At 38.8% G+C, this 17,017-nt stretch overlaps 1 protein-coding gene across 5 annotated transcripts in view, besides 2 other annotated features; it reads left to right on the top strand.

The window, feature by feature from the left end:
• The window catches only part of ARHGAP42 (Rho GTPase activating protein 42), a 306,654-nt gene that overhangs the window by 209,828 nt on the left and 79,809 nt on the right, over positions 1 to 17,017 (top strand). For all 5 annotated transcript variants that reach the window (NM_001367945.1, NM_152432.4, XM_011542616.3 and 2 more), the window contains one exon: positions 16,337 to 16,438. In NM_001367945.1, coding sequence (NP_001354874.1) covers positions 16,337 to 16,438 — 102 coding nt within the window. The remainder of the gene's footprint in view (positions 1 to 16,336; positions 16,439 to 17,017) is intronic.
• Positions 11,727 to 11,776: an enhancer, noted in NCBI's record as "active region_5430". NCBI's record gives its function as "activates an Ori minimal core promoter by ATAC-STARR-seq in GM12878 lymphoblastoid cells {active_cell/tissue: GM12878}" and the evidence as "EXISTENCE:reporter gene assay evidence [ECO:0000049][PMID:35858748]".
• Positions 13,927 to 14,066: an enhancer, noted in NCBI's record as "active region_5431". NCBI's record gives its function as "activates an Ori minimal core promoter by ATAC-STARR-seq in GM12878 lymphoblastoid cells {active_cell/tissue: GM12878}" and the evidence as "EXISTENCE:reporter gene assay evidence [ECO:0000049][PMID:35858748]".

Here is a 17,017-nt window from a genome sequence, read left to right on the forward strand (position 1 = left end):
TTTTTGTCAGGTTTGTCAAAGATCAGATGGTTGTAGATGTGTGGTGTTATTTCTGAGGTCTCTGTTCTGTTCCATTGGTCTGTATATCTGTACTGGTACCAGTACCATGCTATTTTGGTTACTATAACGTTGTAGTATAGTTGGAAGTCAGGTAGCATGATGCCTCCAGCTTTGTTCTTTTTGCTTAGGATTGACTTGGCAATGCTGTCTCTTTCTTGGTTCCATATGAACTTTAAAGTAGTTTTTTCCAATTCTGTGAAGGAAGTCATTGGTAGCTTGATGGGGATGGCATTGAATCTATAAATTACCTTGGGCAGTATGGCCATTTTCACGATATTGATTCTTCCTATCCATGAGCATGGAATGTTCTTCCATTTGTTTGTGTCCTCTTTTATTTCCTTGAGCAGTGGTTTGTAGTTCTCCTTGAAGAGGTCCTTCACATCCCTTGTAAGTTGGATTCCTAGGTATTTTATTCTCTTTGAAGCAATTGTGAATGGGAGTTCACTCATGATTTGGCTCTCTGTTTGTCTGTAATTGGTGTATAGGAATGCTTGTGATTTTTGCACATTGATTATGTATCCTGAGACTTTGCTGAAGTTGCTTATCAGCTTAAGGAGATTTGAGGCTGAGACGATGGGGTTTTCTAAGTATACAGTCATGTCATCTGCAAACAGGGACAATTTGACTTCCTCTTTTCCTGATTGAATACTCTTTATTTCTTTCTCTTGCCTGATTGCCCCGGCCAGAACTTCCAACACTATGTTGAATAGGAGTGGTGAGAGAGGGCATCCTTGTCCTGTGCTGGTTTTCAAAGGGAATGTTTCCAGTTTTTGCCCATTCAGTATGATATTGGCTGTGGGTTTGTCATAAATAGCACTTATTATTTTGAGATACATCCCATCAATACCTAGTTTATTGAGAGTTTTCAGTATGAAGGGCTGCTGAATTTTGTCAAAGGCCTTTTCTGCATCTATGGAGATAATCATGGGGTTTTTGTGTTTGGTTCTGTTTATGTGATGGATTACGTTTACTGGTTTTTGTATGTTGAACCAGCCTTGCATCCCAGGGATGAAGCCAACTTGATCGTGGTGGATAAGCTTTTTGATGTGCTGCTGGATTCAGTTTGCCAGTATTTTATTGAGGATTTTTACGTCGATGTTCATCAGGGACATTGGTCTAAAATTCTCTTTTTTTGTTGTGTCTCTGCCAGGCTTTGGTATCAGGATGATGGTGGCCTCATAAAATGAATTGGGGAAGATTCCCTCTTTTTCTATTGATTGGAATAATTTCAGAAAGAATGGTACCAGCTCCCCTTTGTACCTCTGTTAGAATTCGGCTATGAATCTATCTGGTCCTGGACTGTTTTTGGTTGGTAGGCTATTAATTATTGCTTCAATTTCAGAGCCTGTTATTGGTCTATTCAGAGATTCATCTTCTTCCTGGTTTATTCTTGGGAGGGTGCATGTGTTGAGGAATTTATCCATTTCTTTTTGATTTTCTAGTTTATTTGTGTAGAGGTGTTTATAGTATTCTCTGGTGGTAGTTTGTATTTCTGTGAGGTCGGTGGTGATATCCTCTTTATCATTTTTTATTGCATCTATTTGATTCTTCTCTCCTTTCTTCTTTATTAGTCTTGCTAGTGGTCTATCAATTTTGTTGATCTTTTCAAAAAACCAGCTCCTGGATTCACTGATTTTTTTGAAGGGTTTTTCATGTCTCCATCTCCTTCATTTCTGCTCTGATCTTAGTTATTTCTTGGTTCTGCTAGCTTTTGAATGTGTTTGCTCTTCCTTCTCTAGTTCTTTTAATTGTGATGTTAGGGTGTCGATTTTTGATCTTTCCTGCTTTGTCTTGTGGGCATTTAGTGCTATAAATTTCCCTCTACACACTGCTTTAAATGTGTCCCAAGGATTCTGGTACATTGTGTCTTTGTTCTCATTGGTTTCAAAGAACATCTTTATTTCTGCCTTCATTTCGTTATTTACCCAGTAGTCATTCAGGAGCAGGTTGTTCTGTTTCCACGTAGTTGTGCAGTTTTGAGTGAGTTTCTTAATCCTGAGTTCTAATTCAATTGCACTGTGGTCTGAGAGACAGTTTGTTGTGATTTCTGTTCTTTTACATTTGCTGAGGAGTGCTTTACTTCCAACTATGTGGTCAATTTTAGAATAAGTGCAATCTGGTGCTGAGAAGAACGAATATTCTGTTGATTTGGGGTGGAGAGTTCTGGAGATGTCTATTGGGTCTGCTTGGTGCAGAGCTGAGTTCAATTCCTGGATGTCTTTGTTAACCTTCTGTCTCCTTGTTCTGTCTAATATTGACAGTGGGGTGTTAAAATCTCCCATTATTTTTGTGTGGGAGTCTAAGTCTCTTTGTAGGTCTTTAAGGACTTGCTTTATGAATCTGGGTGCTCCTGTGTTGGGTGGATATATATTTAGGATAGTTAACTCTTCTTGTTGAATTGATCCCTTTACCATTATGTAATGGACTTCTTTGTCTCTTTTGATCTTGTTGGTTTAAAGTCTGTTTTATCAGAGACTAGGATTGTAGTCCCTGCTTTTTGTTTGTTTGTTTGTTTGTTTTGTTTTTTTTGTTTTGTTTTGTGTTTTGTTTTTTTTTTTGTTTTTTTTTGCTCTCTATTTGCTTTGTAGATCTTCCTCCATCCCTTTGTTTTGAGCCAGTGTATGTCTTTACATGTGGGATGGGTCTCCTGAATACAGCACACTGATAGGTCTTGACTCTTTATCCAATTTGCCAGTCTGTGTCTTTAATTGGGGCCTTTAGCCCATTCACATTCAATGTTAATATTGTTATATGTGAATTTGATCCTGTCATTATGATGTTAGCTGGTTATTTTGCCCATTGATTGATGTAGTTTCTTCATAGCATCGATGGTCTTTTCAATTTGGCATGTTTTTGGAGTGGCTCGTACTGGTCGTTTCTTTCCATGTTTAGTGCTACCTTCAGGACCTCTTGTAAGGCAGGCCTGGTGGTGACAAAATCTCTTGGCATTTGCTTGTTTGTAAAGGATTTTCTTTCTCCTTCACTTATGAAATTTAGTTTGGCTGGATATGAAATTCTGGGTTGAAAATTCTTTTCTTTAAGAATGTTGAGTATTGGCCCCCACTCTCTTCTAGCTTGTAGAGTTTCTGCCAAGAGTTCTCCTGCTAATCTGATGGGCTTCCCTTAGTGGGTAACCTGACCTTTCTCTCTGGCTGTGCTTAACATTTTTTCCTTCATTTCAACCTTGGTGAATCTGACAATTATGTGTTTTGGGGTTGCTCTTCTTGAGGAGTATCTTTGTGGTGTTCTCTGTATTTCCTGAATTTGAATGTGGCCCTGCCTTGCTAGGTTGGGGAAGTTCTTCTGGGATAATATCCTGAAGAGTGTTTTCCAGCTTGGTTCCATTCTCCCCATCACTTTAAGGTATACCAATCAAACATAGATTTGGTCTTTTCACATGGTCCCATATTTCTTGGAGGCTTTGTTCATTTCTTTTCATTCTTTTTTCCCTAAACTTGCCTTCTCACTTTATTTCATTAATTTGATCTTCAGTTGCTGATACCCTTTCTTCCACTTGGTCGAATCGGCTGTTGAAACTTGTGTATGCATCATGAAGTTCTCTTGCCATGGTTTTCAGCTCCATCAGGTCATTTAAGGTCTTCTCTACACTGTTTATTCTAGTTAGCCATTTGTCTAACCCTTTTTCAAGGGTTTGAACATGTTCCTTTAGCTCAGAGAAGTTCGTTATTACCGACCTTCTGAAACCTACTTCTGTCAACTCGTCAAAATCATTCTCTGTCCAGCTTTGTTCCATTGCTGACGAGGAGCTGCGATCTTTTGGAAGAGAAGAGGTGGTCTGGTTTTTAGAATTTTCAGCTTTTCTGCTCTGATTTTTCCCCATCTCTGTGGTTTTATCTGCCTTTGGTCTTTGATGTTGGTGACCTACAGATGGGTTTTTGGTGTGGACATCCTTTTTGTTGATGTTGATGCTATTCCTTTCTATTTGTTAGTTTTCCTTCTAACAGTCAAGTCCCTCAGCTGCAAGTCTGTTGGAGTTTGCTGGAGGTCCACTCCAGACCCTGTTTGCCTGGGTATCACCAGCGGAGGCAGCAGAACAGCAAATATCGCACAACAGCAAATATTGCTGCCTGATCCTTCCTCTGCAAGCTTCGTTCCAGAGGGGCACATGCCTATATGAGGTGACTGTCAGCCCCTCCTGGAAGGTGTCTCCCAATTAGGCTACATGGGGGTCAGAGACCCACTTGAGGAGGCAGTCTGTCTGTTCTCAGAGCTCAAACGCTGTGCTGGGAGAACCACTGCTCTCTTCACCATTGTCAGATAGGGACACTGAAGTCTGCAGAAGTTGTCTGCTACCTTTTGTTCAGCTATGCCCTGCCCATAGATGTGGAGTCTATGGAGGCAGTAGACCTTGGTGATCTGCAGTGGGCTCTGCCCTGTTCGAGCTTGCCGGCCACTTTGTTTACCTATTCAAGCCTCAGCAATGGTGGATGCCCCTCCCCCAGCCAGGCTGCCACCTCACTGTTTGATCTCAGAGTGCTGTGCCAGCAGTGAGCAAGGCTCCGTGGGCATGGGACCCCCTGAGCCAGGCACGGGAGAGAATCTCCTTGTCTGCTGGTTGCTAAGACCTTGGGAAAAACACAGTATTTGGGTGGAAGTGTCCCGTTTTTCCAGGTACAGTCTGTCACAGCTTTCCTTGGCTAGGAAAGGGAAATCCCCTGGCCCCTTGAGCTTCCCAGGTGAGGCAATGCCCTGCCCTGCTTTGGCTCGCCCTCTGTGGGCGGCACCCACCATCCAATCAGTCCCAATGAGATGAACCAGGTACCTCAGTGCAGAAATCACCCATCTTCTGCGTCCATCCCTGTGGGAGCTGCAGACCAGAGCTATTCCTATTTGGCCATCTTGGAACAGACCCTCTTTTTTCTTTTTTAATAAAACTAGCAGAAAAGGGGATTCCATAAGCAGATATTCAGTCAAAGGCAGTTCCTGGAATTGGCTCATGTGGCTTATTCTATAACAATGACCAAAACACTTTAACCCGTTGAAGAATGGGGCAGTCATTTTTCCTTTAAATGTTAAAACTAAGCAGTTGTGCTGTTTAATGCTGATTTTGAGAAAGGTGTTGTGTTTTAGTCTAGACTCCATCCTCTTGCTAACTGAGTGGCCTATAATTAATTCCCATGAACCTCATTTTTCCATTCTTTAAGATGGGAGTCATGGTAATATGTTGATTTTTTTTCCTATCTGTAAGCCTAATCTTCCAGAAATCCTTATTGATAGGAAAATATACAAAATTAGATCAAGAGAATAAGATTGTGAATGAGTCTGCAAAGCCCTTGAAAATGTTTTGTTTTTCTTATCATAAAATCACAGAGATAACATACTCAATAAAGATGTTAACTTTTATATACATCTTAGGACTATGTATATTGGTAGTGAGCCCAGGTTATGTCCTTCAGGGCTCTTTGGTCTTGCTCAGGAGTATCTGAGTATCCTGATACTCAGATCTGGGAGTATCACCCCTTGTCCCTTTCATGTGCTCAAGGCCTGGTTCCAGTGCAGACTCCTGCTGCAGTGGGAACCGCAGGATGTATGGTGCAGAGGCTTCAGGGCACATTGGCTCCTTCCATCACGTCTAGACAATGGATGGAGTACTGCACTGTCACCTCTGGGCTCTGTCCTCTCCCATGACTGCCAGAGGGACCAGGTGACACTGAAAGACAGGAGAGTTCTTGTTCCATGGGGTGAATTTTGATCAATTATGGGAATGACGTGGAAGATAAATCTTGCTTCTTGCTTGCTTACCCAATGAACGGCCCCGAGGTGTGTTGGTTTTGGACAGCATGAATGGAGATGTGCCATAGAGGTAGAGCAGCTGGCTGGCTCCTCACGCTGCTGTGGCCAGGTCAGCTGAGGCCACTTGTATTTACCTTCCTTCCTTGTCTCACATCTCTTTATTCCTCAATCTTGCTGTCCAAGATGCGCACACACACACACACACACACACACACACACACACACACCAAGCTTTAGCAGGCAAGCTTTGCCTCAGGCAGTTTTCCTGAAAATTTGAACTAAAGCAGTATTATATGTAATATAATATAAAAATTTAATTTCTACTGCTATTGCTTTTACCTTAGGAATAAGAAAAAAAATACATCTGTTATTTTTAGTCAGATCCAGTACTTGTTATAAGTTGTCTAAGTAGTCTATGTTATGCCTAGTATTTTATCAGTTCATATTTGTTCATCCAGGTTCTTTGTCATCCCGGAAGAGCAGAGAAATCCAAATGCTTGGCATGGAAAAAAGCTTCAGTAACTTTAATTAGGAAATCTTCAAATTCACCCAGGGTGATTTTCCAAATATCCTGTCTGGTATGCAGAATTATGTAACCCTAGTTTTGTCCCTAACTTGATGTCAGAGCCATCAGCTTCTAGCCACTCCACACACTGTCTGCCTCCTAATGCCAGTATTCCTTGTCTTCCCACAGCTCCAAGGGGAGATTGACACTTGGATGCTGTATTAGTCAGGGTTCTCTTAGAGGGACAGAATGTATATATATACATGTCCCTCAAAATATATATATATATATATATATATATATATATATATATATATATATGTATGTAAAGGAAAGTTTATTAAGTTTTAACTTACACGATCACAAGGTCCCACAATAGGCTGTCTGTAAGCTGAGGAGCAAGGAGAGCCAGCCTGAGTCCCGAAACTGAAGAACTTGGAATCCGATGTTCGAGGGCAGGAAGCATCCAGCATGGGAGAAAGATGTAGGCTGGGAGACTAGGCCTGTCTCTCCTTTTCACATTTTTCTGCCTGCTTTATATTCACTGGGAGCTGATTAGACTGTGCCCACCAGTTTAAGGGTGGATCTGCCTTCCCCAGCCCACTGACTCAAATGTTCATCTCTTTTGGCAATACCCACACAGACAGACCCAGGATTAATACTTTGTATCCTTCAATCTAATCAAGTTGACTCTCAGTATTAACCATCTCAGATGCTGTCATATGCTTTCAACATCATTTGCTTTCTCTCACAAGGTTTAAAGTGGCATTACAAATATCGAACACCCCCTCTACTTCCTATTTTTCCTCTCTCTTTTTTTTTTTTTTGAGATGGAGTCTTGCTCTGTCGCCCAGGCTGAAGTACAGTGGTGTGATCTCTGCTCACTGCAACCTCCTCTGCCTCTCAGATTCAAGCGATTCTCCTGTCTCAGCATCCCAAGTAGCTGGGATTACAGGCGCATGCTACCACGCCCAGCTAATTTTTGTATTTTTAGTAGAGACGGGGTTTTGCCATGTTGACCAGGCTGGTCTCGAACTCCTGACCTCAGATGATCCACCCGCCTCGGCCTCCCAAAGTGCTGGGATTATAGGCATGAGCCACCATGCCCGGACTCTCATCCCCTCTTTCCTTAATCTCTTTCTTTGTTCACTTTTCTTTCTTTCTTCCCTCTCCTTTCTTTTGTCCTTTTTCTCCTTCAACTCCCACCTGACCTCCCCACCTTTTTTTTGGAGGAAGTGAAGTGCTATGGTTTTAATCTTTTGCTTCCTTAGGTTGCATTTTACTTTGCAAGGAACATGGAACTGGGAACCAGATAGATTTAATTTTAATTATCTGCTGTGCCTGTCATAAGCTCTGTGACCTTGGTCAGATTACTTCTCTCTTCTCTGATAATGTTTTCATGCTCATAAAATGAGGATTTATTATTCTTACCTTGTAGAATTTTATGTGGAGTTCTGGTATGCAAACTACTTTACAACCACTGTTAATTGTTCTCCCAGTCTTGGTCAGCACTGAGCATCAGTACCAGTCACAAAATGGGTATTTACTAAAAGCTCAAGTTAATGAATGAATTAATAAAAATCTACTTGTGAGCCAGGTGTCAGCATACCCTTAGGAAACTTTCTCTTCTCTCCATTCTAATTTTTGTTCATTCTTACCAATTTTTCAACTTTTGTGTTTCTCCTCCTCTCTTGCTATCCCATCTCCATTTTTCTCCTTCTCACTTTTAAAACAGAAATCAATTATTGAAGAATTTAACAATGCCTAAGATTGAAAAAGGAAAGTGAATATATTATTTAGAAAAGTGGAGACAAATGGGAATCAATAGCTTAAAAATTTACAAGTATTTGCCTTCAGGGATCAGAACTTTGGAACAGAGATGGAGCAAGGAGCTGGCTTAATTTATATGCCTTCACATATGATTAGATTATTGAAAACTATGTATGTCTTTAATAATTAACTTCCACCTATGGAAAATGAATATTTAGCATCCTTACAGTAGCACAACCACTACTACTTCAAACATATTTCCCTTCCTGCTACCTTCCAAATATATATCATTTGATTACATTTTTTAAAAGATCAACGCTCATTGTCCACATAACAATATAATTATGGTTCATAGGTGAACCATATCAGATTCTATGATTACTTTTTTTGCCTAATTTTTTGTTTCTTGGCATCAGTAATTGCCTTACTTTCAAATTTTGCTTAATATTCTGTTTCCAAGTACAAGGATATAATTACAAAACAAATCTTGGACCGGACACAGTGGCTCACACCTGTAATCCTACCACTTTGGGAGGTCGAGGCGGGTGGTTCACTTGAGGCCAGGAATTTGAGACCAGCCTGGCCAACGTAGCAAAACCCCGTCTCTACTAAAGATAACCAAAATTAGCCAGGAATGGTGGCGCATGACTGTGTTTCCAGCTACTCGGGAGGCCGAGGCACGGGAATCGTTTGACTTCGGAGGCGGAAGCTGCAGTGAGCCAAGATGTTGCCATGGCACTCTGGCCAGGGCGATAGTCTTAATATGTTTAAACATACCAGATAATACCTTCTCCATTCCATTTGTTTAGAGACATTTCTCCTGTAACTCTCATCTTAGCTGGTTGCTTTAAAGTTCAAAGGCTTACTTGTCCATCTAATTTTCTGGAAGATCATATTACCATGATTTTGGGAGTTCCCTGTGACTCTTAAAACTGAAAAAATTCCTGTTTTTTCAGATCTTTTGCCTAACTTCCTTGATTTATTCCCTTATGTGAGCAGAGCACACCCCTCAGTATTCTCCTGAGAAATGGTACAGAAGCAGTAGAATTTTTGAGGCCTTACACATTTGTAAATATTTTTATTTTACCCTCAACCTGGATTGATAATTTAACTAGAAATAGAAAGCTAGGTTTGAATGAATTAGTCCTCAGAAATTTGAAGGCTATGGATTTTGGTTTATTGCTTCTTTTACGCTGTTGAAGATCCATTATTGTTCTGATTTCTGATGATTTTTATGTAAGCTCCATTTTCTTATGGGTTGCTTTTAGGTTTTCATTTTATCCATGTTTTTTAAACATTTTATGATGACATGCCTTTTGTTTATTTTCTCATTCATTGTACAGTGTACATATTGGGCCATTTTAATGTGGAAACTTTAAAAAAAAATTCATTCTGGAAATATTCCTGAAATTTTTTTTTTGGCAATTCTCTTGATTTTATTATCTCTCATTCAGCAGTTCTATTAGTCAGATGGGCTTCTGATATCCTTCTTTATGTTTTAAAACTCTGTTTTCTGTTTTTAATAGCCCTCTTCCTTATTTACATTTAATTTCTGTAAATTATGTTGTTTTATGTATCTATTTGTTTTAAATTTTTCTACCCAGAACTGTGTTTTGAGATCCATCAACACTTATTATTTCTCTCTAAATTCCGTGTAGCACTCCATAGTACACATCTAATACATTTTATGTACCCTCTAACAAATACCCCATCTCCTTTTCTGTTTCCACAGGTAACAACTTAATGAATATGCTCATTCATGTTTGCTGTGGACATTTCTGTTAGCATCTCATTGAGAGATACACCCAGAAGTTGGTTCTTAGGACACACATATATGTCCCTTAGTAGTGCAATGTTTCCCTCTAAAAAGACTTCACCCCTCTACAATCCCATCAGTAGTACCTAAGGGTTCCTGTGTCTCCACATGCTCTTAGCACATGGCATCATTCAACTTTCTAACTCTTAGAGCATCCAACTGATATAATGTAATATCTCATGGATTTAATTTGTTTGTCTCCAATAATGAATGAGTTTGAACAACTCTTCATATGCATGTTACACTTCGGGTTTCCTCTTTTGTGTATTATCCCTTCATATCCTTGACATGCGTTATCTGTTTGCTTCTTTCTGTCCAGTTTGTAGGAGTTCCTTGTAAATGCGAATGTGAATCCTTTGGTTCCTGTGAGTTTGATTACCTGGTGGTGGTGGCAATGATGTAATTGGGAAAGCAAGAGATATGGTGAATTATAATGGTACAACCCTCCAGAAAGAAGCCATTTTGGGATGTCTGGATTTCAGCTGCTTGCAGATGGGGGAGTTGGTGGAGAATGGGTTGGAGAGATTAGGAGTTGTTGGGTGGAATCACCCACAGGAGAGACACTGCTGTGCAAGCCACACCAATATTTTCACCAAATTGAGCTTCTGGATGCCAAGATCCCTTGGGCTCCAGGTAATGCCTAAACAACGTGGGATGGACTGTGCTAGCAACTGGCCCTTCTGGGAATCAGAGGTGGTGATGCTGCTGTGGGCTGCCACTCTAGGCAAGGAGTACATCCCACCATCAGAGGAAGAAGAAGTCTAATTAGGGGTGGTAGTTGGGGCTATCTCTAATCCTCTTATGTATTTTCAGAGCCTAGCACCATGATAATTTATAAGAATTCCTCATGTTTTTGGAATAGAAACTTAGCTATTGGTTTTTACTATTACTTAAGTTGAAGGATTTCTCAAAGTAGTGCTTATTTAGGTAATGGCTATGCTAACATGATAACAAAAATAGTTGCTTGGGAAATTTCACAATATCCTATGTGGCAATTAATAATACTGAGACTGTTGAAAATATCATGAATCAATATTAATGATAGGTTCTTTTACTACAAAGAAATGTAGAAATATTCACTTATTTTTAAAAACTTCTAGTAATATTAAAATGAAGATTTCTAATTTAAGTATTTAAACAAAGCTTTCTAGTAGTCTTTTGTAGAAAAATGGGGTTAGATAACATTTCCATAATTTATTTCTATTTATGATTAAGTGTGGTAAAGTTTGTTCTTCATCTTTGGTACTTGCTTGTCATCAGTGGAAGACATTGAGTTGGCCTCTTTTAAAACAATAGTGTGTATTCCGGGGTTTTAGTGTACCCATCACCTGAATAGTGTTCATTGTACCCAACAGGTAATGTTTCATCCTTCACCTGCCTCCCACTGTTTGGAGTCTCCAGTGTCTATTACTCCACTCTGTATATTCATGTGTACCCATTTTTTAGCTCTGACTTATAAGTTAGAACATACAGTTTTTGGCTGTTTCTGAGTCATTTTTCTTAGGATAATGGCCCCCAGTTCCATCTATGTTGCTGTAAGAGACATGATTTCATTCTTCTTTATGGCTGAGTAGTAAGTATTCCATGGTGTATATATATCACATTTATAAAATCCAGTTATCCATTGATGGACACTTAGGTTGATTCCATGAGTTTGCTATTGTGAATGCTGCTGTGATAAACATATGAGTGCAGGTAACTTTTTGATCTAATGATTTCTTTCCCTTTGGGTAATCCCATCTTGTACTGGGATTGCTAGGTAAAACGGTAGCTCTATTCTTAGTTCTTTGCAAAACCTTCATACTGTTTTCCATAGAAATAATTTATATTTCCACCAGCAGGGTATAATCATTCCCTTTTCTCTGCAGTCTCGCCAGCATCTGTGGTTTTCTGACCAGCCATTCTGACTGATGTGAGATGGTATCTCATTGTGGTTTTAATTTGCATTTCTCTGATGATTAGAGACATTGAGCATTTTTTTGTATGTTTGTTAGCTGCTTGTGTGTCTTCTCTTGAGAAGTATCTATTCATATCCTCTGCCTACTTTTTAATAGGGTTATTTGTCTTTTTATTGTGAGGTTGATTGAATTCCTTGTAGGTTATGGATATTAGCCCTTTGTTGGATGGATTGTTTGCAAATACTTTCTCCCATTCTGTAGGTAGTCTTTTTACTTGTTGATTATTTCTTTTGCTGTTCAGAAGCTTTTTAGTTTAATTAAGTTCTATTTTTTGTTTGTGTTGCATTTGCTTTTGAGGTTTTAGTCGTACATTCTTTCCATAGGCCAGAGTTTTTCCTAGGTTTTTCTCTAGGACTTTTCTTGTTTTTTTTTTTTTTTCTTTTTGAGACAGAGTTTCACTCTTGTTGCCCAGGCTGGAGTGCAGTGGCGCGATCTTGGCTCACTGCAACCTCTGCTCCAGGGTTCAAGCGATTCTCCTGCCTCAGCCTCCCGAATAGCTGGATTACAAATGCCCGTCGCCATGCCCAGCTAATTTTTGTGTTTTTATTAAAGGCAGGGTTTCATCATGTTGGCCATGCTGGTCTCGAACTCCTGACCTCGGACGATCCATCTCCCAAAGTGCTGGGATTACAGGCATGAGCCACCGGCATCCAGCCTTCTAGGATTTTTATAGTTTCAGATCTTACCTTGAAGTCTTTAACCCATCTTGAGTTAATTTTTGTATATGGTGAGAGAAAAGATTGGGGTCCAGTTTCATGCTTCTGCATATGGCTGTCCAATTTTCCAGCATCATTTATTGAATAGGGTGTCCTTTCCCTATTATATATTTTTGTCAACTTTTTCAAAGATCAGTTGGTTGTAAGAGTGTGTATTTTAATATATTTTTATCTTTGTGATATGCCTACAGTCTTATAAATATTTGACACTTTTAAAATTAATACAAACCATAATTTTAAGAGCAAAGTTGACGCTTGGAGTTTGTGTTACAGTAGTTTCCTTCCATTCCTCATTTGAGTGTATAAAATGGACATGTGGCATGACCATGGTTATTGTTGGTAAGTAATAACGTGAGCACTATACCCAGAATAAATGCAGTGTAGATTAGAAAGCCAACTGATTGCAGACCCAAATGTAGCTTACTTTTCACCAGCTAGAATTGGGTCTGAGAACTAATTCACCGTTTTTGAGGATATATTTTATTTATTTAGACAGTAGTTGCCTTCTGTCTCTGTGTCTCCTCTCTCTGTCTCTCCATCTTTATCTGCATAGACATATAGTAAGTAACGGCAGCAACTATGATACTAAAAACAGTACTATGCTTTATATAGGGTCATTTATCTTCTAGGACATCCCCTTCTACCTCACTTCTCATCTTTTTTCCATCGAGATTATTATTTTATTGTGATTTTATTTTAAATGATTACTTAATTGAAATGCACATACTGTGGACTGACAGAAAACATCCCATTACAGTATGAAGTCTCTATTTTTTTAAAATAATGCCATATCAATAAGAAAACAGTGATCATGAACAGCATTTAGGAACAATTCATGGGTTATTTTCCCCTTCCTTAAGCAGCGCTTATTTCAGAGAAAATTCTTAGTTTCATGTCCACAACAAGTAACACAAGAGACAAGAGGTAGCTATATGGGGTTACATTACTAAGTCCAAATAAGACTTGGCTTACATGAGCAGTAAATCATGGCTTTTGGAGGAGATGTGAGTTGCAAGGAAAAGTGCTTTTTGTTTTCTAGAGCATGCTTCCCTAGATTATAGTTGTCCCTCATGTGGCCTAGTCTTTTATCTCAGCTCTTTAATTTTATGCTTAAACTGAGTGTGCTTTTGTTACCTACATCATTGGAACCCTTGAGATCTTTTTTTCTGGCCTGGTGGTGTGAAGGGGCCTGGTTTGAATAAGAGTCCAGGAAGTGGTTCTCAGAATGATTTTTGTATTGCCAGAAATGCTGATGTATTGGCTCCAAATTAACATTTCCAAAAATGTCACCCTACACAAACTGAAAACAAAGATACAAGTGTTGTCACCACAGCTGTGCACTCTCCTCCTGAAACCAGTTTCTTCCTCTTCTATGAAAAGTGAGAAATTTTAAGCATCTATTTTAAGATGAAAGGGAGTCAGTTTTCTGTACTATACTGTAACCCGGCTGGTTGCTCACTTAGTGGATTTGAGTTAGGACTGTTTGTACAGATTTGTCCCTTGTACCATGGATAACAGTTTGTTGAACAAATAGAATGTCTGTGAGGGTCTGTGGTGGCCACTATTATAAGAAGAAGAATTTACTTATTAAATATTTATTGAGTATTCATTAGGTATTCCATTTTAAGGTAGATGGGGGTGTATACATAAAATCTCTGCTGTAAGTAGAACATGAACCCTAGTAGAGACCCATATATATAACTATATGAGCATTCAAAAAGGAGAGAGTTGAAAGAAGGGAATTATGAATGGCATTTATTTGAGCTGGATGCTAAAAGTAGATATAATTTGAATGTGTGGAAATTGGAAGAAATGAGCATTTATGTCAGAGGGAATGACCTAGAGAGAGAAAAGAAAAAAGGATCATGGATAGGGAGCTGAAAAAGAGGTAGTGAGAGAGACCTTTAGAAAGGTATGTTGCAGGTAAGTTGTGGACATAAAGTGCCAGATTAAAGAGTAACATCCACCAAGCAAAAGATGAGAAATTCACCTGGGTATCTACTCCAACAGTGAGTGGAGAGGACTAGCCTCTCTATCCTGAACCTTGGGCCTCTCTTTTCCTTTGGGTCAGCTATTTCATGTTTTGTAATGTGAGTTTCTTAACACACCTTTTGTGGTGGAATCCTACTCATTTTCCAGTTGTGTTTATCTTGGTAGGACCACATTTTCTCCTTAGGTAATAAGAATTATTTGAATAGTTTGATTTATTCCCTTCCCCCCATTTATAGATGGTAATATTTTAATGTACAAGCATCTCAGTACTTCTTACATGGTCTAAAAGTGATGTGAACTCTTAAAGCAGAACCTGACTTACTCTCCCTTTTCAGCTCAATTTTACCAGCTCACTTCCTAAAATTCCACACATGGAAAAAGATTATGATAGATTCTTGGAAGTATAACTGAGAAGAAACTTAAGAGTGCCAATGGATCAAAATTACATTTCCTAGATAGATAAACCTGGATTTGACAACCTCAGAATAGCAGGAAAAATCCCTTAAGCTAGAAGATTTTCCTTCTCTTCAATTAGGTTCAAAAACTGCAATTACTTCTGCACTAATCTAATACTTCCCTCTCTCCTTCTTTCCCTTCCACCACCCATCCGTCTGTGCATCTATTCATTGATTATTTTTAAGTAACCTTTTCTAGGTATTTATGCAAGTAATGAAGCAAAGCATTATGTGTTATAAACACATAATGAACTTGTTAAAAAAAATCAGTTCCAGAATCTCTGGAAGGAGAAAAATAGGAATCTGCAGTCTGAACATGCTTATAAACACCTAGTTCAGGTGATCCAGAGGTTGCAGTTTCAGAGACACTGAAATAAAAGGAAGGAGTAGTACTTCTTTGGCCAATGAAATTTATGATTGTAGTTACTTAGTATTTGTTTCATATGGACTTATAAATGGAAAAGACATATCTGGTGGATACAACATTTATAGTAGTAGAAGATTATATGCCCAGGAATGTCCTCTTCCCTTCAATATTTCATTCCATTTGCATTTCTATGGAGGCATGCCATAAGATAAAAGGTAAAGTTACTCCCTTCTCAGCTATTCCCCCTCCCAGTTGTTCCCCAAAACTCCAACATATCAGGAACAAAGGTCGGCTATTAAGAGTTATGTTCAGAGTTTATGGTACAGAGGTTGTTAATCCTTTCAATTTATTCGACTTCAAATTTTCTTATTTAATTATTTGAAGCTACCAGCATTTAAAAATCTTCTCCTCCATGTCAAGAATGAGTTGTTTGATATTTCAGGTGTCTTTTGTGGCTAAGAAATAATATGATTCTGTGAAAAGATTCCATGTGAGTGGGTTCTTTAGACATTATATATTGACTCATCTGAATCAACAAAAAGCCTAAAAAAGACATTTTTCTCTTGGTCACATCTCAGACCCACTGGATCAGAATCTATTGTTAAGAGTCAATTATAGAGCTCTTGGTGGGACTCTACTGTAGCCAGCCTGGCCCCTACCCATACTACAGTTCCATTTACTCCAAAGGAGATGTGACTTGCCCTGTTTGTTTATACATGGATTTCTCACCGCAAGATGGAAAGCTTTTTTGAGAGCAGAGTACATACTGAAATGGCTTGTTTCACTTACATCTTCCTATTTTTACTAAATTAAGGTTTTACACATAGTTGGGACTCACTGTCTTTATTAAATAATTACATGGGACTTTGATGGGAATGGTGAAAGTCGGGGTTTTCTGGGTGCTCTGAGTTAAATATTTTTTGTTGTTATTGCTCTCCTTTAGGATGGAAAGAAGAAGTTTGACAAAGAGAGTGAAAAATATTACTCTATCCTTGAAAAGCATTTAAATTTGTCCGCAAAGAAAAAGGAGTCTCATTTACAAGAGGTAAGCTTTTCCAACTGAAATAATGGAAAAGGCATTAAGTCATATAAAGTCAAAATTTCCAAAGGTAAAACTATCTCAAAATCTGCTACTATTTAATAAAATAATTATGATAGCAATGGCTAAATTAATTGAGCACTTACTATGGGCGATACTTTAAACACATTATAACTGTTCCAAGTGAAGGATCAATATTTCTTTCAACAATGAGAAAGGTTGAAACAAGATCTTTCACTTTTATTCTTTTTGAGCATTTTTAAAGGGACAGGACCTATTAAATTCATGTTATGGCCTTCAGCTTAAAGTTAAAATATCTCTGACATTGATTTTAAGGCCTTGCTTCAGCGTTGTGGGAAAGATAGATACACAGCTACACATTTTATTTTATTTTATTTTATTTTTGAGATGGAGTTTGGCTGTGTCGCCCAGGCTGGAGTGCAGTGGTGCACTCTCAGCTCACTGCAACCTCTGCCTCCTGGGTTCAAGCAATTCTTGTGCTGCAGCCTTCTGAGTAGCTGAGATTACAGGCATGTGCCACCAAGCCCAGCTAATTTTTGTATTTTTAATGGAGACGGGGTTTCA

This window comes from Homo sapiens, chromosome 11 (genome assembly GCF_000001405.40).
Source record: "Homo sapiens chromosome 11, GRCh38.p14 Primary Assembly".
NCBI lineage: Eukaryota > Metazoa > Chordata > Mammalia > Primates > Hominidae > Homo > Homo sapiens.